Consider the following 26,455-nt stretch of genomic DNA (forward strand, 5'->3'; position numbering starts at 1 on the left):
TTTTCTGCCTTCATTTAGATTGAGTTTATCTCCACTACTCACTTAGTAAATTAATTTTTAATGGTTTTAGTATTTTCCACAATGTTTATAATATACATTTTTGACTTTTCACATTCCACCTTCAAATGATATCATTCTACTTGACATATGAATCCTTACATCATTGCAGTTCTACTTCCTCCCTCCCAAAATGCTATACTATTACTCTTTGTAATAGAAGCTTACTTCTACTATGTCACAGATCTCACAATACATTGACACTATTTTTGCCCTAATAGTTGTGTTTTAAAGTGATCAAGAATAAAACTATTTTAAATATTTTCTTTATTTATTTATTTTACCATTTCTGGTGCTTCTCATCTACTGGGGTAGATCTCAATTTCCATCTGGTGTCAGTTTCTTTCTGTGAAAAACAACTTTTAGCATTTTTTGTAGCACAGGTCTGCTACTGCTGAAGTCTTTCAGATTTTGAGTGTCTGAAAAAGTATTTTGCCTTCAGTTTTTAAAAGTAATTTTGCTGAATGTAGATACTGGGTTGAGAGTTTCATCACTTGCAACACTTTAATGATGATGTTCCATTATCTTCTGTTTTAAATAGTTTGACTAGTAATCTGATCTTTGTTCCTATGTTTTCAATAGGTCATTTTTCTCTGACTACCTTTAAGATTTTCTCATCTTTGTTTTTCAACAGTTCGACTATGATGTGTTTATTATTAATTTCTTTGTGTTTAATCTGCTTGAGGTATTCTGAGTTCCTAGATTTGTAGATTGTTGATTTTTTTCTTTTCTCTTTTTTCTTTTCTTTTCTTTTTTTTTTTTTTTTTTTTTTTTTTTGAGATGGAGCCTCACTCTGTCACCCAGGCTGGAGTGCAGTGGCGCAATCTCGGCTCACTGCAAACTCCACCTCCCAGGTTCAAGTGATTCTCCTGCTTCAGCCTCCTGAGGAGCTGGGACTACAAGCATGTGCCACCAGGCCCAGCTAATTTTTGTATTTTTGGTAGAGACAGAGTTTCGCCATGTTGGCCAGACTGGTCTCAAACTTCTGACCTCAGACGGTCCATCACCTTGGCCTTCCAAAGTGCTGACAGTACAGGTGTGAGCAACCGTGCCCAGCCTAGATTGTTGATTTTCATTGTCCTTGTAAAATTCATAGCCATTATCTGTTCAAACGTTTCTTTTTGCACTTTTCTCTCTCTGTATTTTCCTTTTGGGACTCTAAGTACCACGTGTTTGGGATTCTAAGTACCCACAACATTCATGTTGTTTCATAAATCTTGTAAGCTTGTTCTCTTTTTTTTTCAGTAACTCTTTTTCATTCTTTGTGTTGGTTTGGATAAGTTCTGGTAACCTATTTCCAAGTTTATGGATTATTTTTTCAGTTGTTTCTAGTCATCTCCTCAGCCCATTGAGAGAATTCTTCATCTCTGATATTATGACTTTTTTTCTAGCATTTTCATGTTACTCTTTTCTATAGTTTCCATCTTTGCTGAAATTCTCTACCTATCTATGCATACTGTCCACCGTTACAACAAGATCCTTTAACATACTAATGTAGGTATCACACAATCCCAATCTGATAGTTTCCAGATGGCGTCTTCTCTAAGTCTGGCTCTCTGGATTGCTTTATTATTCAACAGTGGCTTTTTGTTCCCCCTTGGGTTTTTTGGTGTGTCTTATAATTCTTTAATCAAACACTAGACATTATAAATAGAAGAACAGTAGAGGTTACAGTAAATATTATTTATACTTTGAAATGGACACCCTTGTCTTGCAAATATATATCGTGGATAATTGAGTCAATGTAGTCACTAGTTTAACTGAATTGGGATTTGTGATTGCTAGTTTTACCTTAAGTGCACCACAGATATAAATTCCTCCAGTGATGTGCTGCTGCTATCTTTTACTTAGAGTGGGGCCTGGGGTGCTAAAGAGTTTTCTCCGTGTTCCTATCCATTCCCAGATTTCAGCAGTCACTGCATGCCTGCACTACAGAGGAGATATCTTCATACACATAATCTAACCCCATTGACACTCGGCTGTTTCTTGTTACTGAATGCTCACTTTTTGGTGGACGTAGGAGAATACTTATCTCCCTGGTCTACCTCCCTCTTAGGCCAGTTGAGCACAGCTCGGCTTTGAAAGTAGTGATTTTTCAGTGTTCTTGTGCCTCCTTCTGATGGAACTTGTACCTGTGGTGGGTTTGGAAAGAAAGAGTAGTAGGCTTCTGCTTCATTGCAATGCAGGATGTTGGGCACAAGAGGATTCCCTGTAACTTCTCCAAGGGAATAAGATTTTTGCCTCCACCACTCTCTGAGAAGCTGTGGATCTTTGCCTGCAGTCCTAGATGCAGGACCATCTCCTGCCCTATCACCCAGAAGCTTTGGTCTTTGGCTTTGTTTGAGGAAGGAGCTAGAGAAATGTGCAAAGCTTTCATGTCTGCCCCCCACTGACAGCCACTCACCACCCACAGCCTGCACTGCCGAATGCATCCTCCTCTCATCTGCCCTCGTGTTCTCATGAACACTCAGTAGGGACCCATAAAAAAGAGCTTGCATGTAAGTGCAATTTCCAATTATAAGTACTCTATCTGTTCTTTCACACCCAGGTTTTAAATGAAATATTACTAGGAACTTATTAATGTTCTAAAATGCTATAAATCTATTTTTATGTTAATCTGTCTGCTAATACAGAAAAGAGAACAGTCATAATTCTCAGAGGCTACCGTACTGTTTTTGTCATAAATTGCTTCATGCTTCTTTTTTTTCAGTAATTGTTAAGCTTGATTTCTTTTATTTTAATTTCAGCACCACCTGAGCTAACCCCTGTGGTCCAGGACTGCTACCATGGTGATGGACAGAGCTACCGAGGCACATCCTCCACCACCACCACAGGAAAGAAGTGTCAGTCTTGGTCATCTATGACACCACACCGGCACCAGAAGACCCCAGAAAACTACCCAAATGCGTATGTCTTTGATTTTTACTGTAAGAGGGGCATCAGCCAACTGAAATTTCTGTTAAAAGAGCCATGCTTCATGCTTCAAGCCAACTTCCTAGGACCAAATTTCTCTTAGACCCAGAATGTGTAGAAAAATGTCTCAAGAATCTTGCTTTTGAAGAAAGGGCCTGCGAGAAGAGAAATTTTAGGCTGGCTATTTTTCCTGAGTAGTTTTATGGATGCAGGAGGACATCTGGAGGTGATGAGGTCACATTAATTGAAAGCTCAGGAGTACATATGAGCAAATGCTTAGAAACAGTACCATTCCACAATGCCCACTAAATATCAGTGCAATATTTCTACCATAGAAATCTATCATTTTAACCTCCAACCCCTGAAATGAAGGTTGAATTTGCTATTTTTGTCTTGGGTCACAAGTAAATATACTTTATATATATAAGTATGAATATATATACACACATATATATGTATACATATGTGTGCATATATAAATACACACATATATGAGATATACAAGTATACATATATAGTGTGTATATATATGTACACATATATGTGTGTATATATATGTACACATATATGTGTGTATATTAGAATATATATAACATAAATATGTATATATATATATTCTGACCTGTATAAACACAGTGGATCCTGAGCACCAGTGGCCTGAAAGGATATGGGTTGCTGGGACATGAAGAACAAAAGCAGGATACGCAGATGCTGAACAGCGAAAGAGGCCATTAGATGAACAGAAAACCAGGTCTAACAAGGACAGCTTTTCTTCCATAAATGAGTACACAATATATGGAAAAAACTATTTTTACATATTGGAGAACAGATAAACTGAGATAATTTAGAAAGGGAATCAAATGAGATCAACCCAATAACTACCTTGGCTTTGTTCCTGGAGACTTCCTGGGCTGAAGAACAAGGAGATGGAGCCCAAGCCGACCACAGCAGTCTTGCTGAACTGAGGAAGGAGACTGGAGTTGGGATTACTAAAACAGCTGAGATTTTCTAGGCTAGGTAATAACATGAAAGGAAACATTGTGGAGGAAAGCAGCTCCAGGAATGTCCATAGAAAAGTCCTCAAGTCTTTGGCTAAATAGAAAGCTGCATATGCACAGGGAGAGGTTCCAGAGAGAAAATAGGATAAAGAACAGCTACTGGGGAAAGAAAAACTGCAGGGGAACAGTGAGCTCAATGGAGATGCCAGAGCTCACATAGCACTGGGGGATATTTGAGTTCTGACCAGCCTGAGGAGAGACCTCGCTGAACATCTTGGGCATTCAGTAGTCACCACATAAAGCCAAACTTTGGGAGTAGGATTAGTGTATTCCTATAATAAAGGCCACTCCAGAAACAGCATAGTAAAGCTGAAAAGCAAGTCTAAAAAAATCAACACGATCTCCAAGTAAATTAACTGATTGCCAGAAGAAAATTCAACCCTTTAGAGGCAAACAACAAAATCAAGTTGCTCAGTTATGTGGCATCCACAATGTGTGACCTAAATTTATAACTTTACCAGACATACAAAAAGCATTTACTGTGATCCATAACCAGGAGAAAAAGCACTCAAAACAAATAAACCCCAAAATGAAGAAATTGGCAAGAAGATTTGAAATATATATATATCATAATTGTGTTCAAGGATTTAAATAAAACATGAACATGGAAGAAACAAATGGATAATATCAAAAAAGAAAAATTATAAAATAACCAAATAGAAATTAAATAACTAAAAAAGTGCATGTTTAATGAAAAATGTACTGGCTACCCTTACCATCAGGTTAGACATTACAGAAGAAAAAGTTAACTAGAAAATAATTCAATAGAAGTGATACAAACTGCAGCACACACATACAAAGACTGAAAAGATAAAGAAACAGAGCCTCAAGAATATCTATGAAAATATCAAAAGATTTCATATATGTGTAAAGCAAGTCACAAGAGAGGAAAGAGATATTGGGACAGAAAAAAATACTTGAAGCAACAAGAAAAATCTTATTAGAAGCCAGAAGAAGAAAATATATGTTTACACAGAAGAATAGTGGTAAAAATGACTGATGCCTTCTCGTCAGAAACTATGCTGGTCAGAAACAATGAAATAACACCTTTAAAGTGATAGAAAAAAATAAAAAAGATTAACATAGAATGTTATATCCAGCAAAAATATCCCTTGAAAGTGAATGTTATATAAATACATATTCTGCCTCCCCCAAAATAAATAAAACACTAAGAGAATATTTCATTACTAGGCTTATATAATAAAAGATGTTCTAGAAATCTATTTTGGTAGAAGAAAAATAGTGCCAGATGGGAACTTTATACTAAGTAATGAAGAACCCTGGAAATGGCAAATGTAAAAGATTCATATTTAATGCCTTAATTTCTTTAAAAGATAATTGATGGGAGGCTGAGTCGGGCAGATCATGGGGTCAGGAGTTTGAGACCAGCCTGACCAACATGGTGAAACCCCATCTCTACTAAAAATACAAAAATTAGCTGGGCATGGTGGCACGTGCCTGTAATCCCAGCAACTCAGGAGGCTGAGGCAGGAGAATCACTTGAACCCAGGAGGTGGAGGTTGCAGTGAGCTGAGATCGTGCCATTACGGTCCAACCTGGGTGACAGAGCGAGACTCAAAACAAACAAACAAACAAACAAACAAAAAGATAATAATTTACTACTTGAAGCAAAATGATAGCAATGTATTGCTACTTTAACATATGTAAAAGTAAAAATTTCTAAATAATAATAATCACATAAATAATGTAGGAAATAAATGGTAGTATACTGTTCTAAGTTTCTTGCATTATCCATGAAGTTATATAATACACATGGTTGAAGGTGGTAAGTTAAAGAGGGTTATTGCAAATCCTAGAACAACTGAAAAAATTTAAACTTAGAGGAATAGATAATAATAAGAATGTTCCATTTATCCAAAAGAAGGAAAGAAAGGAAGAAAAAAGAATGAAGAAGATATGGCAAAGAGAGAAAATACACAGCATTATGGTACACTTAAACTGAACTGAAAATATATTTAATATACTCCTAAGCATATTAAATATAAAGGGATTAAACATTGCACAGAAAAGGCAGAGATTATTAAGCTGAATAAAAATCAAAGCCCAATTATGTTCTTTTTACTATACATGCTCTTTAATTGTAAAGAGCTAGTCCAAAAACCAAGTGTGGAAAATGACATATCATGAAAATAAGAATCAGAAGAAAGCTGGAGTGGTAATGTTAATCCCAAAGTAATCTACAAGAAATAATACCACGATGAAAAAGTTATTTCTTAAGTAAAAAAAGTTTATTCATCAAGACTTAACAATGCTAAATGGGTTGCACCCTCATAAGAGCCCTTCTGATATATGAAGCAAACACTGACAGAACTGAAGAGACAAACAGATAAGCCCACAATTAGAGTGGGAGATATCCTAATGTCTCTCTCCGTATGGTTATACATCTTCCCAAACAAAATATAATAGAAAAAATACACAAAAAAATCAGAAAGAATATATATGTTTTAAAGGAAATTGTCAACCTATTTAACACTATGCCAAACTGCAGAATACACATTCAAGTATGCATGGAGCATTCCCCAACATATACCATATGTGTGGGCCTACAGCAAGTCTTAATAGATTGAAAAGAATTAAAATGATACAGAGTCTGTTTTTGAGCAAAACAGAATTAAATGAGATATAAATAACAAAAAAATTGGGAAATTATCAAATATCTGAAAATGAAACAACACATTTCCAAATACTTCATAAGTCAAAGAAGGAATTTAGAAAAGTTTTGAACTGAATAATAGTAAAAATACAACATATCAAAGTTCGTATGATGCAGCGAATGTTTTTAGGGTTTTATAACTTTAAATGCTTTCAGTAGAAAATAGAAACATGTAAAAATCAATGACTTAAGATGGCATTTCTCAAAGTATGCTCTGGAGAAACCTGAAGTCTCTTGAGATCCCTTCAGAGACAGTCTATGAGGTTAAAACACCTTTAAATTTAAAAAAAAAAGATTTTATTTGCTATTTCACTTTTATTTCCTGATAAGTGTACAGTGGAGTTTTCCAGAGGCTACATAATGTTTGATCACATTATCTCTCTGATGGCTAATAAAATGTGTGATTGTCTATTATGTTTAAAAACATTCTCAGTTTTGGATGCAATAAATATTCATAGTATATATTACAAAATGAAAGCTCTTTAGGGTCCCCAATACTTTTTAAGAGTTAAAGGGGTCTTAAGACCAAAAACTTTGAGAACTGTTGATTTAAGATAACTTAAACATCTAGAAAAGGAGAAGCAAATAAGATCCAAGGTAAGTGGAAGGAAGGAAAGAATGAAAATCTGTGAAATCCAGTGTATAAGAATATAGACAAACAATTGAGTAAATCTGTGAAACAGAAAGTTGGTTCTTTTGAAAGATTCATGTAATTGATAAACCTCTGCCTAAACTGACGACAAAGGAGGGAGCACCACCGTCAACATCAGGAGTAAAAAAAGGGAAGAGTCATTGCTATAGGATCTTTTTGATATTAAAGCTAATAAACAAATATTGAGAGCAACTTTACGTTAACAAATTCAATAACCTAGATAATATGGACTAATTCCTTAGAAAAAAACAAATAAGCAAATTGGACACTGAATAAACTGAATTTCTAACCAATCTGATATCTATTAAAGACAACATGTGTATATAATCTTTAATATGTTAATATATATTAATAAATCAATAAACTTCCCACAGAGAACACTCTAAGTTCAGATGGCATCATTAGAAATGTTATTATTTAAAAAAAATCCAATTCTTCACGATCTGTTACAGAAAATAGAGGAGAAGGGAAATATTTCTTGACTCAATTTGTGAGAAAAAAAAAAAACCCTAGTTGTAAAAAAGTAGACAAGGATATTGTGAGAAACTATAGCACATTATGTATTGTGAACATAAATATAAAAAGATGTAACAAAATTTTAATCATTAACATGATGAATATCCCAAACAAGTGAAGCTTCTCTTCAAGAATGCAAGGCTGGCTTAACATTTACAAAACAATCCATGTAATCCAACATGTTAACAGAATAAAAGTGATAAATCATATGATTATGTCAATAGATGCAGAAGAAAATGTGACAAAATTTAACACTTATCCATGATAAAATGTCTTAGCAAACTATGAATAGACTGGAACTTCTTTAACTTGATCAAAGGCATCTACAAAAGACCTCCAGATAACATCAACTTAATGGTGAAAGATTAATGTTTTCTCTCTAAGATTGGGAATAAGAAAAATATGTTTGCTCTCAGTACTTCTAATCAGCATTTTACTACATTGGTCACAACCATTGCCATAAGACCTGAAAACAAAACAAAAAGAGAGGAAAAAAAGGAAGGAAAGAAAGAAAGGGCCTAAAGTTTGGAGAGGAAGAATTAAAACTGCCTGTATTCACAGAAAGCTTAATTAACGGATGCAGAAAGTCCTAAAGATTAATAATTAAATTTTGCAAGATTGGAGAACACATAAGTATATACATGATCAATATAATAAAAGTAGTTGTATTTTTATACACTGCCAATGATCAACTGGAAAATAAAAATGTCAGAGCAATACCACTGACAATAGTATCAAAACCACAAGATATTTAGTGATACATTTAACACAATATGCACAAGAATTATGTACTGCATACTAAAAAACATTGTTAAGGAAGGAATCAAAAGATCTAAATAAAGATATATCACGCTTATATATTAAGAGTCAATATCACTTCTCACCAAATTGATCTTTGGATTCAGCCCATACCCAACCAGAATCTCAGCAGTCGTTTTTTTTAAAAAATGTGAAAAAATGTATATGCTAGAATCACAAGGACAATATTTAAAGAGAAGAAAAAAGTTGGAGGACTTACTTACCCAAAGGTAAAGACCTATAAAGGTACAGTAAACAAGATATGTGGTATTGGGAAAAAAAAGTATACAGATATAGAAATGGATGGTCCAGAAACAGATCCACATATACATGATCAATTTAGTTTCTAGGTAGGTGACAAGGAAATTCAACAGGGAAAAACATCTTTTCCAAAATCATTGTGAAACAATCGGATATCCATCTAGAAAACAAAAATAAAAACAAATTTTGACTTCTACTTTCCATCCCAAATTAATGTGCAAAAGCTCCTAGATCTAAATGTAAGAGCTAAAACTTAAGCTGAAATAAAACAATTCCAGGAAAATATATAATATTTTCACAAACTTGAGGAAGGCAAAATTTTTTTCAGGCAGGACCCAGAAAACACTAGCTTTAAAAGAAAATAAATTATAATTTGGGCTTTCATAAAATGAAAATTATGTTCATCAAAAGTCATTGTTAAGAAATCAGTAGGTAAGTAACAGACTGGAATAAAAATTCTCTCCATCCATATATCTGACAAATGGTTTGTATCTAGAGTATAAACGTTTCTCCCACTCACTAATCAGAGGACAAACAACCTAATTAAAATGGGCAACAGAATTGAATAGGAAATTTCTCAGGGAACGATGGACAGATGGACAATAAGCACCTGAAAAAATGCTCAACATTTTAGCCATCAAAGATATAAGAATTATAACCATCACAAGATGTCACCAACACTTAATGGGCATGGGTATCATTAAGAAGACACAACAATAAGTGCTGTCACTGATGTGGAGCGAGGATGTGCAGCTCTCGCATACGCTGGTTAAAGTACAGTATGCTGGTTTTCCATAAAGTTAAATAACTATGAGTCTACCCCAAAAAACTGCAATTCTATTCCTGAATATTTACCCCATGGAAATGAAAACAGAAGTCCACAAAGAGATCTACAAGAATATTCACAGCAGCTCTAGTTATTATAACCCCAAACTGTAAACAACTACAAGGTCAATCAATGAGAAAATGAATCGATAATTTGTGATCTATTCATATAATGGAATATTATTAAGCAATTAAAATGAAGAAGTGACTGATCCTCTCAAATAGGATGGATGGAACTCAAAAATATATTAAGGAAAGGAGGCAGATACATAAGTGTACATTCTGTATGAGCCCATTTATATCAGGTTTGAGGAGAGGTAAAACTAATCTTTAGTGAAGGAAACCAATAGTATTTCCCTCTGGCAGTGGGAAGAGGGTAGCAGGAATTGAATGAGCAGTGACACAGGGTGTTTCTAGAGTAATGGAAGTGTTCTGTATCATATGGGAGTGTGGTTTACACAAGTATAGGTGATCATCAAAACTCACCAAACAACATTTAAGATCTGTGCATTTCACACTATGTAAAAGTATACCTCAACTGAAGAGAGTGGAAATCTGTTTCAAATGCTCAGCCTTTTAACACATCCAGTTGCTTAGACTATGAACTTCCTCAAATGGGGTGTCTGGGCTTGAGATTAGATCACATGTGTAGAGTCGCTAGAGAGACAATGTTGCATTCCCATGGTACATAATACATTTCCCGTTTTCTCAGACAGCCACAGGTCATGAATGTGAGGATTCTGAGAGGTTGGAGCAACATTCTTGGGAGGCATGAGGGGGAGCACATTCTCCAAGATCCCCCCCAGCCCGGGGTCCTCGCCTGCTTTGACTATTACTCCGTTGTTTTCGGACTCCTCCGTAGCTGCCCGACCTCTTCAGATCCCATAGTCTCCCTTTATATCTTGAGTCCCACTGTTCTTCCAACTCATCCCCCATTCCCTCAGACCTGGAGTGGCAGTGGCCAGCAGAGGATGGATTGAGAGCAGGAGAGGATGTCCTGCCCAGGAACCCATCCTAGAGAAATGGCATCCTGCCTGGGAGCTAGTTTCCCAGGGTGGCTTTGATACGTCTTGCAGAAACAAACCCACTTGACACACCTGATACGGTATTGACAGTAACACTATTTTTCGTGGTTGTTTTTCATAGTAAAAGTAGATCCCTTTAGTTACACTGTGAGTACTTAGAGTAAGGTGACTGGCCTGGGAATGATACCATCTTGGATGTCATTTTCTCCTTGGAGAAATGTATTTTAGTTCCAATGCACATTTCACAATACAGTCCTATAGAGAGAAATACAGAGAGCTAGACAGTTAGAGATATACTTTTATGTGCATAAAAATATAAAATATGCACTTTAAAATCTGTACCTGTTATTCCTGAGAAATGTATTTGGCAGAAGGTGGGAGGGGGATATTCTGATCCTTTTATTTACATGTTTATGTATGATCTGAGTTTTTATATGGAGCATATACTACTTTTGATTTTTTAAAGAAAAATTAAAATCTGTCTTTGAAATGTACACAGTTGTTTAGAAGTTGAGGACCATTTTTGTTTGTTACAACATTATTGTACCTATAATGGGAATATTTCAAAGCCACTTGTTAACACTTTGTTAGAACAAAATGTAGAGGGTGCTGGGTGCCCCTGAATATTCTCCCACCTCTTGTGACCTGTATTGTTTTGGAATTTCCAGTGGCCTGACAATGAACTACTGCAGGAATCCAGATGCCGATAAAGGCCCCTGGTGTTTTACCACAGACCCCAGCGTCAGGTGGGAGTACTGCAACCTGAAAAAATGCTCAGGAACAGAAGCGAGTGTTGTAGCACCTCCGCCTGTTGTCCTGCTTCCAGATGTAGAGACTCCTTCCGAAGAAGGTAAGAAATCTGTGGCTGGACATCTACACACTTGGACGCTGGGATGAAAAGCCATGGAAAATCTCACTGATGCAGAAACCTTCCATGCTACACGAGAAATCAAGTGTTTTTAGAGGGTCTGCCATGTGGAAGGAAGCCTCAGTGCACTCTCTCAAGGAGGCAGAGGTGTGACTTTTGGCACAACGTGAGTGGGCTGTGCCTTTAGGACAGGTGCAAACCCTCCAAGGTGCTCAACTTAACCACTCACCTTGTTCTAAAATGGGTTATCTCAGTATCCCAGTCCAAATTCGTATTCTATCATGCTGCCATATGTGTGATTCTTTCCAAGCCAGTAAGCATCTCCAGTAATTTCTTAAGGTAGGCAGCGTTCATTGCAGTCTTCAGCATTGCAGTTTCTGAGGAATGTGGCCCCTGATTCTGTCATCCTAGAGAAACCTGACATGACTGTATTGATTCCATATCATCCTGGGTCTCTGTGGCTCTTCATAATCATCCATTTTTTCCCTGTACAGACTGTATGTTTGGGAATGGGAAAGGATACCGAGGCAAGAGGGCGACCACTGTTACTGGGACGCCATGCCAGGACTGGGCTGCCCAGGAGCCCCATAGACACAGCATTTTCACTCCAGAGACAAATCCACGGGCGGGTCTGGAAAAAAATGTAAGCCACTTTGATTTGGACTCTTTGGCCTTTTGCTCACCAATCTTTGCAAACAGAATTGGTTCTGTGTTACAGAAAATCTGACCTGGACTGCTCTTTTTTGTAATGGGGGAGAGGGGACAGAAGAAAATATTGGAAAGGCATCAGGGGGCTAAGCTAGAATATAATTGGCCTTAGTATGGAAAGTACAAGCAGCACAGGCCAGGAAACCTCCACACATGTGAGGGTTCTCAGGCCTCTTCCCTTTAGTGACATTTCTTTAAAGTTTCCATTATTGGGGACTGTCTCTAGTTTCTAGTGTTTGTATGCTAGGTTCCAGTAATCAAAGATGCCCTTTATGAAATTTAAGTCAGATTTTTCGAGAAAAAATTTGGATGGGCCATCAGGTCACCATGGGACTTCCCTTAGCCTCATGCATTCTCTGCGATGGTTTACTTTGGGGCCTATGAATAGGGAAGACTGAGATATAGGAAAAACCAAAGTGTCTGTGTTCCCCCACTCTCACACCCATGCAGCATAACACTTCTCACACCAGATGTGGGGGGATTTCTCCTCACACCCCAAGCGAGTCTCCAGCAGATACCAGCTGGGTGTCCTACAATGTAACTCAGTGCTGACACTCTATCTGGAGACAGTGTCAGATCCCATAAGTTAAGGCTCAGTCCCACAAGACCGCCCCACTGCAGATGCCAATCCCAAGTTCCAGGCGGTGACCTGTACTTCTGCCCAACTGGACAAAAATCTGTTTTTCTACTTGATTACTTTGCTAGAGTGGCTCACAGAACTCAGGGGAACACGTTACTTTTATTTACCCATTTGTTATAAAAGATATTACAAAGGATCCTGGTGAACAGCCAGACAGAAGAGATGCACGGGGCAAGGCATGTGAGAAGGGGCTCAGAGTTTCCATGCCCTCTCCAGTGCACCAGCCCCCGGTACCCCAAGTGTTCAGCAACCCAGAAGCTCTCCAAGTGCAGTCTTGCTGGGTTTTTATGGAGGCTTCATTACAGAGGCACAGTTGAATACATCGTTGGCCATTGGAGACCAGCTCACCTTCAGCTCCTGTTCCCTCCCTGGAAGTTGGACGTGGGGGGCTGAACAGTTCCAACCCTGCAATCACATGGTTGGTTCCTTTGGCAACCAGCCCCATCCTGAGACTATCCAAGAACCCACCAAGAGTTGCTTCATTCAAACAAAAGATGCTCCCTTCACTCAGGAACCCCCAAGGGATTTAGGAGCTCCGTGTCAGGAACTGGGGGGCAGAGACCAAATATACGTTTCTTATTCTACCACAGTGTCATATGAAGGGGAGGACAACACTGCCTTTCTGTGTCTTGCCCCATAGAGGGCGCACAATGCATGGAAATAAATGTTTCTGAATCAACAGCAAACAGGCTTCATCGGGTAGGAGAGCGCTGAGCCCTCCAGGGACAATGCACATCAATGATGTCCCACTGTCCTTTGGTGCTGGGGCTCTAAGGCCTCCACTGGGTCAGGCTCCTGAAGGGAGACCCATTCTCCAAAGACCCCCGAGGGTCACCACTCCCTGTCCAGGGGTGTGGCCTCATAGCTCCTTTTGAACAGGGGCACAGGAAGGACGGCTTTAGAGCATTCAAAAAATAACTTTGCCAAAATAATAATAATAATAATAGAAAGGAAGAAGAGGCTGAGCATGGTGGCTCACACCTGTAATCCCTACACTTTGGGAGGCTGAGACAAGCAGATCACCTGAGGTCAGGAGTTCGAGACTAGCCTGGCCAAAATGGTGAAACCTCATCTCTACTGAAAATAGAAAAAAAAATTAGCCAGGTGTGGTGGCGTGCACCTGCAGTTGCAGCTACTCAGGAGGCTGAAGCAGGAGAATCGCTTGAACCCAGGAGATGGAGGTTGCAGTGAGCTGAGATCATGCCACTGCACTCCAGCCTGGGCGACAAGAGCAAAACTCCACCTCAGAAAAAAAAAAAAAAAAAAAAAAGAAGGAAGGAAAAAGAAACACTCCTTTATGTCTTCTAAGGATAGACATGAAATGCGTGAGCCTTGGAACACCTTCTCCCTCTCCTGCCCCACGTGAGCTGGAGCTTACATGCCTTCTTGTTTTCAGTACTGCCGTAACCCTGATGGTGATGTAGGTGGTCCCTGGTGCTACACGACAAATCCAAGAAAACTTTACGACTACTGTGATGTCCCTCAGTGTGGTAGGTTGCCTTCTTTTTGGTAAGGAAACTGCTTACTTAATATGGATTTGCAACAAAAAAGGAAAAGGGCTTCTGAGCAGACTGCTTCTGGGGAGGAGATAGCTGCCCTCTCCATCAGACCCCACTCTTCATCATGGGCATCTTGAATCTGCCCTACTATTGGCCACATTTGTTAGAGGAACACCTGCCCATCGCCCCAGGCACACATAAATAAAATAAATGTAAAATTCCCAAAGAGCAAGCTTAGAGGTAATCTAGTCAGCCCCAGGATGGTCCCACTGAATGCTGCCATGTCTAGCGTGGGATGCATGAAAAATTTAGAGTCATTCGGATGAAAAACTTTCCCTTTCCACAGCTGAGAAGTAAGAAAGAAAATACAAACAGCAGGAAACAGGTAAGCATGTAACGCACATTGTAAACCTCAGATGGCCATCCTAGGAATTCAATGAAAGGTAGTGCAGCTCTTTAGCCCCAGATGGCCTTTCTTATAAGTTTACTACTCACAAGTCACATTAGTGACATAGCTTAGAGACTGCTTGTTGGGTTCCATCCTCATTGCTCTGAGACTCTTGTTGGGAGTATGAGGCTTGGATCAGGGGAAGGGGAGTTGACATTAGTTCTTAAAGAATTGGAATAACAAATCCATGGGTATTTCTGAAAAAAAAAAAAAAAAAAAGAAAGGAAGCTACTTGGAATTGTCCCATATTTAACATTCTGCTGACCAATCAATTTGTCCTAGTTACAGAAAACCACCCTGGACTTCTCCTATGCATAATTTGGTTGCTTGTGGTTGGGTCTGCCATGTGGAGGGACCTTGAGCTGGGGGAAGGAGCTTGGCCTCCAAGTCCACTGAAGACCAGCATCCTGAGATTGCCTGGGAAGGTGGTACAGGGCAGTGATGAAGATCATGGGAGCCACACTGCCCAGCTTCGCATTTGGGCTTCTCCTAGGGACACCAAGAGGGAGGAAGGAGGGGTTAGGATGGTATGAAAGATTCTACTTGGCCAATATTATTGTAATGCGGCATTGTGATCTCTGGATTTAGCATGAGTTGATAGCTGACTTTTTCTGCAGAAGCATCTTGGTGGCACCTCTAACTCAAAGTCCCTCGATGGAGTCAGTTCCAGTTCTCCACTTCTGGCCCCATCTGGTACACACCACTGCCTCTCACTGCCCGGGCTCTCTATCCTTGACAGGCTGCCTTGAAGTTGAGCCCAGACTGATTTTCTTGCCTCAGACCCCACTACCGTGCCTGGGACTCATGCACCTTTGACTCCCATGGAAGGGAAGTGCAGTAGTTTCCCAGGTGCAATTCTGGTGTCCTCACCCACATTGAGGATGTACAAGAATCAGGTTCTTAGAGATTGGAGAAAGAAGGAAGAATGGGAACAAGATTTTTCCCAAAGGACTGTGAGGTCCCCCACCTAACCTTGATGTGAGACAAGTGAGGTTAACCCCAAGCCTGGTGAGAAGCGTTCCCATCAGACACTTGGAAATCCTGAGGACTGTTTCATGCAGAAGGATATGGTTTATTCAGGTTTGACTCGTGCTTGAGAAAGCTAGAGCCTCTGGTGGTGAATGATTTTAATAACTATTTCCTTTCCACCAACATATACAGTACAAATAATAATAAGCAAAAATAAATAGAAACATTCAGTTTTGTTTTGAATAGTAGGAGCAGGGTACCATCATTTCTGTAGTTACTCTTTTAGTACAACGATGCATGTCTACTGTATGTAAGGCATACTAGCAGAAATTGAGCTCAGCACTAGAGAAGATGATTGCATTCTATGCCTTGCTTCTTTTTTTAAAAAAAGGCTTCCATAGATAGATTCTCAGAACAGCCCATGGCAAATGTAAAGTTATTTGGAAAACCCAGGTTCCAGATTCACTAGAGCATAGAATCTCTGGTTGGTTGGGAAGGAATTTCCTCTTACAGTTGTTACTAATAATTGTATGAACAATTATTTAAAATATTAACATTTACATTTGTGAAGACCTTGAAGGGCTGGAGACAACAGAGAAGCATTTTTGAATACCCTCTGCAGCCCCTGCACTGTTGTAGGCATTGGTGGATGGTACCAAAGATGGGACACTGTCCCTACCTCCAGAGACCCTGTGGGCTGGCTACAGAGAGAAGGCAGGGAGGAGGAAAAGAAGAATAAAGTCATATGTTTAAGTCACCCCCACGGCCGTTGGTTAGTCATGGGAGGCTCCCCAGAGGAGCTGTCCTGAAGCTGGCTGACAGAAGGCAACATTTCAACTTAGGACAGTAATCCTTGCTACATACAATCACATACACACACACACACACGTGCACACACAGAGACTCACATGGAAAAATAAACCTTTGTGCCTTTCAGCAGTGATGACAATTATGGTTTTCAGTAAACTTTACATGGTTTAGATGGTGATGGTGATGATGATGATTATGGGAAGGATGGCATCATGTTCTAAACATACTGCATGGAGTCAGAATAACAATGACAAATAACCATTTGTCCCAATCAAGGTTTTCTCAGAAAATATCTCATTCTGATGCTAAACTATACCAGTCTGTTTGATCACTTCTCCAACAAAATAATTACAAAGTGCTTATATTTTCTTGAAAAGAGAGGGTCCTGTGTTGTCTACTACCACTTTTGAAACTTAGAGAAAATGTTCCAAAAGATGATGATTTTACTATTTAGTTCGGCCTTTAAGATGTCAAAAACTCAGTGCTTGGAATTTGTCTCGAATTACACCACAAAATTGCTACCTTGTCTCAAATGGGATTTCTTTCCCACCTTGTGCCACAGCGGCCCCTTCATTTGATTGTGGGAAGCCTCAAGTGGAGCCGAAGAAATGTCCTGGAAGGGTTGTAGGGGGGTGTGTGGCCCACCCACATTCCTGGCCCTGGCAAGTCAGTCTTAGAACAAGGTAAGAACAGGCCCAGAAACGATTTATACTGTCCCTCCACGTAAGCCCTGCAAAACCCTTCTACATTTACATAAAATCCACACAGCTGAGGCATCAGCACCTGCCTCTAAGTTTTCTGAAGGAGGAAAAAAGCTACAAAAATTAATATATGTATATATACATATATATTTTTATAGGTTCTCTACTGTGAAAATGACAAAAATTGCTGTCTTTTTCTTGATCTGGGCAGCTCCATCAAAATCTGTAGGCACAGTGATTTGCACCAAGTTCCAATATTGCTGGAAAATACTGAAGATGCTCTGAGGATTTCTATGGATATCCATTGTCTCATTGTCAGATGAAAAGAGGGGGAAGTTTTTAGAAATGTGACACTTTCTGGGTTGGGAGAGCAAGGACAAAATTATCTCCAGTCTATCACAGGCACAGATTCTTTTTCTTTGGACACTTTCGTGAATCATTGAATTCAATGCAGAGGCTACTCATCCATTCGCAAACAAAAAAATTCTAGGTCATGATCCCCATAAATGAAGAGTGATCAGTCCAATCCCAGGGAACCTGGACATTTTGGGTATTGTTTCAGTGGAACATGCCTTTCATAAGTTCCATTTTCTTGGGTATCTCTTAGGAAGCAAGCATAGGAAACAGGCCCATCCGTCTGCCTGTTTTGCTTCCTCATCTCACTTCTACACGAGGGTGCCTGTGCTCAATTGCTGTTTTCCCCTAAAGAGACTCTTTTCCATAAGTTTGTGAAATGCCATCGACAAACCTGATCGCATTGCATTTCACTCTGCTGTTGAGTCGATTTTTCTTTATTTTATCATTTAGTAACTCCTTGCTCTACAGAGCTTTCACCTTCCACATATTTCAGATTCATTCTTTCCTAAACTATGTGGTGGTCTACGTCCTCACTGACTTATCAACATGCTACCATCATGCACTTCCTATCTCTATTCCTCTTCTTTAAATTTGGTTCCAAATGGCTCACACCATTATTCTGAGCTATTACCTGCCTACGCAGTCCTAGAAAGTAAGTGATTCAGGAAACATTCCCCAAAAGTAAAGTTTCTCAGGTAAGATCAGAAGACTCCCATGAGTCACTGCTGCTCAGGATCACATCTGGCTCCTTGAAGAGTGATTCATCAGACCTTACATAGATCTTGTCATAAAAATGAAAGAGGCCTCGGGGGAAGGTCTTGGGCTGGTGGCTTCTGTTGGAGTCCTGGGCTGTGGGGTGAAAGCCGTGGCTGTAGAGCTTCATGCGGAGTTACTTAGCTTTGCTCTCCTGTGGACAGGCCATGCCTGTGCCTCCCCCAAGCATCGGAAAAATTGGCATAGATGGGCCCTTCTCAAAAATCCCACTCCTGGAGCACTGGCCAAAATTACTACCATCCTGATGCTGGGCTTGCAGTCCTTTCCTTTGGGAATATGAACATGGTCAAAATTAAGTGAACGTGTCTTTCTGGCTTTCTGTACAATGGAGCAGAACAAAGTATCAATTTAACTAAAATTTGAACTAAATCCTCTTTCCAGGTTTGGAATGCACTTCTGTGGAGGCACCTTGATATCCCCAGAGTGGGTGTTGACTGCTGCCCACTGCTTGGAGAAGTATGTTTAGGGGACAATTGACATGAAGTCTTGTCTTAAATACTTTTTCTGTCCTTCTTTTCCTCCTTTCCTCCTTTCCTTTCTCACTCTTCCTCCCTTCCTTCTCTGGCTGTGACACTAGGGACCAGGCCAGGGCAATTGGATAAGAGAGAAGGGAAGGGTTTCTAGAAAGAAACTGCAGAGGAAAGACACAGTACAGATGATTTTGTGGGCCTGAATAAACTGCAGAACAGAGCTGTTCACTACCATAGGCTGTATCAGTCTCTGCCCAAACAGCCCAAGAACATTCCTTAACTGCCTGTTTCAAGCAAATCATGAATTTTGCTTCTTGCCACTCAGAAGTCACTAATTCTGAGTGGCCAAGGGTGTCAGGGAGACAGCACCAATTTCATGGCACAGAGGTTACCTGAAGGGGCTGGACCATATTTTCCTCTTGACGTCCTCATCTTTTCTAGGTCCCCAAGGCCTTCATCCTACAAGGTCATCCTGGGTGCACACCAAGAAGTGAATCTCGAACCGCATGTTCAGGAAATAGAAGTGTCTAGGCTGTTCTTGGAGCCCACACGAAAAGATATTGCCTTGCTAAAGCTAAGCAGGTACTCGTTCACCTGTGGTCTTCACCCCACGCTGGTGAAGATATTTGCTTTATGTCTGGGTTTTATGGGCCATGGCCACTGCATGGCAGTGGGGAGGAACTGTCTATCACATGAAAGGCTCAAGGGCTTTGGGGACAGCATCAATCTTCAACCCTAGCCCTGCCACATGCTAGCTGTGCTCTTGAGAAAGGCAGCAGGACTCCGTTTTCTCATGTGGAAAAAGAGTTGAAATGAGGTACTCTGTTACTCCTAGAACTCACTTAATGTTCACCAGTTCATACACATTCATGATCAGAGAACGATTCAGTTATTCCAGGCTGACAATTCCCCCTTCATCATAATATGTTTAAGAGAATCATATAAGACTATATTTGTTTCAAAGCACTTTAAAAACCACAAGATCGAGTTGGGTGTCTGGTGTGGGTGCCTGTAATCCCAGCTACTTGGGAGGCTGAGGCAGGAGGGTCACTTGAGTCCCGGAGTTTGAGGCTGCAGTGAGTTATGATCGTGTCACTGCATTCCAGCCTGGGCGACAGAGTAAGACACTGTACCAAAAAAAAAAACACCAAAAAAACAAAAAACAAACAAAAAAAAAACAACTTCACAATGTCAAAAAAATCACAAATACAGTTTATAAATGTAAATTATATTATTATTATTGTCTTCTTTGATTTGATTTTCTCTTTCCTGTTGAAATGTTGTTTCACTAAGCCTGACAAAGTGAAACATTTGCTTATGTCACTCATTTAGTGCTGTTTGGAGCCAGATACTAGTTGAGTCAGCTAAGAAACAGCTATTTGTAGGAGAAGCAGGTTTGGGACAGGTGACAAGGCACGCAGGGCGCTCGCTGTGCTGGTGGTTCTGGAAGACAGGGTGTCAGTGTGGACAGGGATGAGCATGGCCTGGATGAGAAGGCACGGGGCAGGAGCCTGAGCTGCTCTCCTGGGCCTGGCCACAAGCCCAGGGCAGCTTCTCTGGGTCTGTGAACTGAGGGGTGATGTCCTGGGATGCTCTGACACTCTAGAAGGAGAGAAGAGCCTTTCCAGCTCAGCCTTTATAAACAGTAGCTGATCTCCCTCCTGCTCCCCAGTGTCCTCCCCGCCATCCCAGCAAATGTGCAAATAGAAGGTCCCCGTTCCTCATGATCCTCAGAGAGCTGGGGTGTTCTGATGGCTTGAACAAGTAATTTGGAAATTTTGGGTTTTGGAGGAGTTCTCTGATAGGCTGATACATTTCGAGTTTAGAGTTCCCACCCCACATCCCCACACCCCGAGTCTAGGGCATTTAGTGCTCCACCAGGGAACCTGTAGAGTGAGGACGTCTGCATGACAGGCTGGGCCTTCTGATGATGCTCAGAAGCAGAAAGTGTGCCTGCTTCAAAGTTGGTGACGATGATGTTTCTTGATCAGAATAGGGCATTTCTTATTTCCAATCCTTTATCCTCTTGAACTTACTAAAGTAGAATCAGGTCTAAAAACCGGAGTTCTAATGTTTGAGAGTCCCTGGGACTCTAAAGTATATGAATGTTCTTTGAAAACAAATACCATTTTGTTCAAGCAAAAGGCTTATTTCCAATCCTCTTTCATTTGGTATCAAGTATTTTACTGGATTCTTACAACTATGGCGTAGTAACATTCACTGAGGAGGAAATGGAGGATCCAAGGATGGAGCAAGTTGCTCTGGGCACACAACACATTTGCAATTTTACAGCCTCTTGGTGGCATCTCAGTCAGACATTCCATGCACTGATCAATGCCCTATTCGATTAATGTAAAAGGACACACTCAGCATGAGATTCCAGTTGTGCACAGAATATACATGAGAAGTGCGCCTTTGTCATCCCTACTTTCAAAGGTGAAGGCCACCAGCAGTATCTTGCATGCAACTGATGCCTTTCAAATGAAACCTTACATCTGCATAGTCCATAGACAACCACAGGCAAATGTGAGGGTGAAACTCTGTGTTCTACGTTGCTCTGTGTCAGTGAAGCAAGGCAGTGCCAGTTCAGAGGGCTCTGGGGCCTCAAGACAGGGATGACTGGTTGTGGGTACTGCAGCTGCGAGCAGAGCAGTCAAACATAACTGCTGATGCTTTTCTTTCAGTCCTGCCGTCATCACTGACAAAGTAATCCCAGCTTGTCTGCCATCCCCAAATTATGTGGTCGCTGACCGGACCGAATGTTTCATCACTGGCTGGGGAGAAACCCAAGGTGAGATAAATTCCATTGCCCACATAACGAATTGGTTTTGACCTACAGTCCATGTGACAAAATGATCATTTTGGAGAAAGCTGTGCAAATTCCTATCCATGAATGTGGTCCACCCCACTCCTGATTTTGCCTGGGCACCTGTCTATGTCTTAATCAGTCTTCAAGGCACATGATCAAAGGGAGGAAAACTGTGTCTTTGAGTCTCTCTCTCTCTCTCTGTTTTCAGAACATTTTTATTTCAATTAATTAATTTTTAACTTTTATTTTAGGTTCAGGGGTACATGTGCAAGTTTCTTGTATATGTAAACAGTGGTTTGTCATGCAGATTATTTTGTCACCTAGGTACTAACCCTAGTACCCAATTCTTAGTATTTCCTGCTCCTCTCCCTCCTCCCACTCTTCTCCCTCAAGTAGGCCCCAGTGTCTGTTGCTCTCTTCTTTGTGTCCATGAGTTCTCATCACTTAGCTCCCACTTATAACTGTGAACATGTGGTATTTGGTTTTCTGTTCCTGTGTTAGTTTTCTAAGAATAACGGCCTCCAGCTCCATTCATGTTCCTGTAAAAGATATTACCTCATTCTTTCTTATGGCTAAACAGTATTCCATGGTGTATATGTACCACATATTCTTCATCCAATGTGTCATTGATGGTCATATAGGTGATTCCATGTCTTTGCTACTGTGAATAGTGCTGCAATGAACATTCATGTGCATGTGTCTTTAGGGTAGAATGATTTATATTCCTCTAGGTATATCGCCAGTAGTAGGATTGCTGGGTTGAAAGTTAGTTCTGCTTTTAGCTCTTTGAGAATCACCATACTGCTTTCTACAGTGGATGAACTAATTTACAGTCCCACCAGCTGTTAGTGTTCTCTTTTCTCTGCAACCTTGCCAGCATCTGTTATTTTTTGACTTTTTAGGAAGCCATTCTGGCTGGTGTGAGATGATTTTTCATTGTGGTTTTGATTTGCATTTCTCTAACGATCAGTGATATTGAGCTTTTTTTCATATGTTTGTTGGCCACAGGCATGTCTTCTTTAGAAAAGTGTGTTAGTGTCCCCTGTCCATTTTTTAATGGGGTTTTTTTTTTCTTGTAAATTTGTTTAAGTTCCTCATAGATGCTGGATATTAGACCTTTTTCAGGTGCATAGTTTGCAAATATTTTCTCCTGTTCTCTAGGTTTTCCCTTTACTCCCTTGAGAGTTTCTTTTTCTGTCCAGAAGCTCTTAAGTTTAATTAGATCCCATTTGTCAATTTTTGCCTTTGTTGAGATTGCTTTTGGCATCTTCATGAAATTTTTGCCCGTTCCTATGTCCAGGATGGTGTTACCTAGGTTGTCTTCCAGGATTTTTGTACTTTTGGATTTTACATTTAAGTCTTTAATCCATCTTGAGTTGATTTCTGTATATGGTGTAAGGAAAGGGGTCCAGTTTCCATCTTCTACATATGGCTAGCCAGTTACCCCAGCACCATTTATTGAATAGGGAGTTATTTTCCCATTGCTTGTTTTTGTCAGCTTTGTTAAAAATCAGATGTCTGTAGGTGTGTGGCCTTATTTCTGGGCTCTCTATTCTGTTCCACTGGTCTACGTGTCTTTTTTTTTTTTTTTTTTTACCAGTACCATGCTGTTTTTGTTACTGTAGCCCTGAAGTATAGTTTGAAGCCAGGTAATGTGATGTCTCCAGCTTTGTTCTTTTTGTTTAGGATTGCCTTGGCTATTCTGGCTCCTTTTTGGTTATATATAAATTTTTGAAGTAGTTTTTTAATAGTGCTGTGAAGAATATCATTGGCAGTTTGATAGGAATAGCAATGAATCTGTAAATTACTTTGGGCAGTATGGCCATTTTAATGATATTGATTCTTCCAATCCATGAGCATGGGATGTTTTTCCATTCATTTGTGTCATCTCTGATTTCTTTGAGCAGTGTTTTGTAATTCTTATTGTAGAGATCTTTACCTCTCTGGTTAGCTGTATTCTTACATATTTTATTCTTTTTGTGGCATTTGTGAATGGGACTGTGTTCCTGATTTGCCTCTGGGCTTGGCTGTTGTTGGTGTAAAGGGATGCTAGTGATTTTTGTACATTGATTTTATATCCTGAAACTTTGCTGGAGTTGATTATCAGCTGAAGGAGCTTTTGGGCTGAGACTATGGGGTTTTCTAGACATAGAGTCATGTCATCTGCCAACAGGGATCGTTTGATTTCCTCTCTTCCTATCTGGATGCCCTTTATTTCTTTCTCTTGCCTGATTGCTCTGACCAGGGCTTCCAATACTATGTTGAATAGGAGTGGTGAAAGAGGGCATCCTTATCTTGTGCCAGTTTTCAAGGGGAATGCTTCCAGCTTTTGCCCATTTAGTATGATGTTGGCTGTGGACTTGTCATAGCTGTCTCTTATTATTTTGAGATATATTCCTTCAGTACCTAGTTTATTGAGAGTTTTCAATATAAAGGATGGTAAATTTTATCAAAATCCTTTTCTGCATCTATTGAGATAATCATGTGGGTTTTCTCTTTAGTTATATTTATGTGATGAATCACATTTATTGATTTATGTATGTTGAACCAAGCTTACATTCTGGGGATAAAGCCTACTTGATCACGATGGATTGGCTTTTTTATGTGCTGCTGGATTTGGTTTGCAAGTATTTTGTAAAGGATTTTTGCATCAGTGTTCATCAAGGATATTGGCCTGAAGTTTTTTGTTGTTTTTGTGTCTCTGCCAGGTTTTGGTATCAGGATGATGCTGACCTCATAGAATGAATTGGAGAGGAGACCCTCCTCCTCAGTTTTTTTGAACGGTTTCAGTAGGAATGGTCATAGCTCTTCTTTGTACATCTGGTGGAATTCAGCTGTGAATCTATCTGGTCCTGGGCTTTTGTTGGTTAGTAGGCTATTTATTACTGATTCAATTTTGGAGCTCATTATTGTTCTGTTCAGGGAATCAATTTCTTCCTGGTTCAGTCTTGGGAGGGTGTATGTGTCCAGGAATTTATCCATCTCTTTTAGGTTTTCTAGTTTGTGTGCATGGAGCTGTTTGTAGTAGTTTCTGATGGTTATTTTTATTTTTGTGGCATCAGTGCTAACATCCCCTTTGTCATTTCTAATTGTGTTTATTTTGGTCTTATCTTCCTTTTCTTCATTAGCCTAGCTAGCAGCCTACCTATCTTATTACTGTTTTCAAAAAACCAACTACTGGACTTGTTGATCTTTTGAATGAATTTTCATGTCTTGACTTTCTTCAGTTCAGCTCTGATTTTGGTTATTTCTTGCCATCTGCTAGCTTTGGGGTTGATTTGCTCTTGTTTCTCTAATTTTTTCCATTGTGATGTTAGGTTCTTAATTTGAGATCTTTCTTCTTGATGCTAGCATTTGGTGCTATGAATTTCTCTCTTAACACTACCTTAGCTCTGTCCAAGAGATTCTGGTATGTTGTATCTTTATTCTCATTAGTTCAAAGAACTTCCTGATTTCTGCCATAATTTCATTATTCACCCAAAAGTCATTCAGGAGCATGTTGTTTGATTTCCATGTAATTGTACGGTTTTGAGTTATTTTCTTAGTCTTGACTGGTATTTCATTGTGCTGTGGTCTGAGAGTGTGTTTGGTATGATTTTGGTTCTTTGGCACTTGCTGAAGATTGTTTTATGTCCAATTATGTGGTTGATTTTTAGAGTATGTGCCACATGGTGATGAAAATGTACATTCAGTTGTTTTGGGAAAGAGAGTTGTGTAGAGGTCTATCAGATCCATTTGGTCCAATGCTGAGTTCAGGTCCTGAATATCTTTGTTAATTTTGTGCCTCGATGATCTGTCTAATACTGTCAGTGGAGTACTGAAGTCTCCCACTATTATTTTGTGGGCGTCTAAGTCTCTTTGTAGGTCTCTAAGAACTTTATGAAGCTGGGTGCTCTTGTGTTGGGTTCACATGTATTTAGGATAGTAGATCTTCTTTTTGAATTGAACCCTTTACCATTATGTAATGCCCTTCTTTGTCTTTTTTGGTCTTTGTTGGTTTAAAGTCTGTTTTGTCTGAAATTAGGATGGCAACCCTTGCTTTTTTGTCTGATTTCCATTTGCTTGGTAGGTTCTCCTCCATCCCTTTATTCTGAGCCTATGGGTGTCATTACATGTGAGATGGGTCTCTTGAAGGTAGCATACCAGTGGGTCTTGCTTTTTATCCAGCTTGCCACTCTGTGCCTCTTAAGTTGGGCATTTAGCCCATTTACATTCAAGGTTAGTATTGCTATGTGTGAATTTGATGCCCTCATTGTGTTGTTATGCTGGCTTGTTTGTGTGATGGTTTTATAGTGTCATTGGTCTGCGTATTTAAGTATATTTTTGTATTGGCTGGTAGCCATCTTGCTATAGTTAGTGCTTCTTTCAAGATCTCTTGTAAGGCAGTTCTGGTGGTAACCAACTCCCTCAACATTTGCTTAGCTGAAAATGATCTTATTTCTCTGTTGCTTAGGAAGCTTAGTTTGGCTGGATATGAAATTCTTGGGTGGATATTTTTTAAGAATATTGAATATAGGCCCCAATATCTTCTAGCTTGTACGGGTTCAGTTGAGAGGTATGCTGTTAGATTGATGGGGTTCCCTTTGTAGACGACCTGTCCTTTCTCTCTAGCTGCCTTTAACA

At 39.7% G+C, this 26,455-nt stretch overlaps 1 protein-coding gene across 1 annotated transcript in view, besides 3 other annotated features; it reads left to right on the forward strand.

Annotated features, from left to right (window-relative positions):
* Positions 1-26,455, forward strand: part of PLG (plasminogen) — a 51,905-nt gene that overhangs the window by 17,411 nt on the left and 8,039 nt on the right. Inside the window, exons 10-17 of the mRNA NM_000301.5 lie at positions 2,805-2,964; positions 11,448-11,629; positions 12,142-12,290; positions 14,392-14,485; positions 17,284-17,404; positions 18,935-19,009; positions 19,465-19,605; positions 21,708-21,814. Coding sequence (NP_000292.1) covers positions 2,805-2,964; positions 11,448-11,629; positions 12,142-12,290; positions 14,392-14,485; positions 17,284-17,404; positions 18,935-19,009; positions 19,465-19,605; positions 21,708-21,814 — 1,029 coding nt within the window. The remainder of the gene's footprint in view (positions 1-2,804; positions 2,965-11,447; positions 11,630-12,141; positions 12,291-14,391; positions 14,486-17,283; positions 17,405-18,934; positions 19,010-19,464; positions 19,606-21,707; positions 21,815-26,455) is intronic.
* Positions 13,586-13,665: a silencer, noted in NCBI's record as "silent region_17762". NCBI's record gives its function as "represses an Ori minimal core promoter by ATAC-STARR-seq in GM12878 lymphoblastoid cells {active_cell/tissue: GM12878}" and the evidence as "EXISTENCE:reporter gene assay evidence [ECO:0000049][PMID:35858748]".
* Positions 18,110-19,309: an enhancer, noted in NCBI's record as "CDK7 strongly-dependent group 2 enhancer chr6:161158745-161159944 (GRCh37/hg19 assembly coordinates)". NCBI's record gives its function as "activates an origin of replication core promoter dependent on BRD2, BRD4, P300/CBP, MED14 and CDK7 cofactors, with strong dependence on CDK7, by STARR-seq in HCT116 cells {active_cell/tissue: HCT116}" and the evidence as "EXISTENCE:reporter gene assay evidence [ECO:0000049][PMID:35650434]".
* Positions 22,755-22,824: an enhancer, noted in NCBI's record as "active region_25403". NCBI's record gives its function as "activates an Ori minimal core promoter by ATAC-STARR-seq in GM12878 lymphoblastoid cells {active_cell/tissue: GM12878}" and the evidence as "EXISTENCE:reporter gene assay evidence [ECO:0000049][PMID:35858748]".

Source organism: Homo sapiens, chromosome 6, assembly GCF_000001405.40.
Source record: "Homo sapiens chromosome 6, GRCh38.p14 Primary Assembly".
In the NCBI taxonomy this organism is placed as follows: domain Eukaryota; kingdom Metazoa; phylum Chordata; class Mammalia; order Primates; family Hominidae; genus Homo; species Homo sapiens.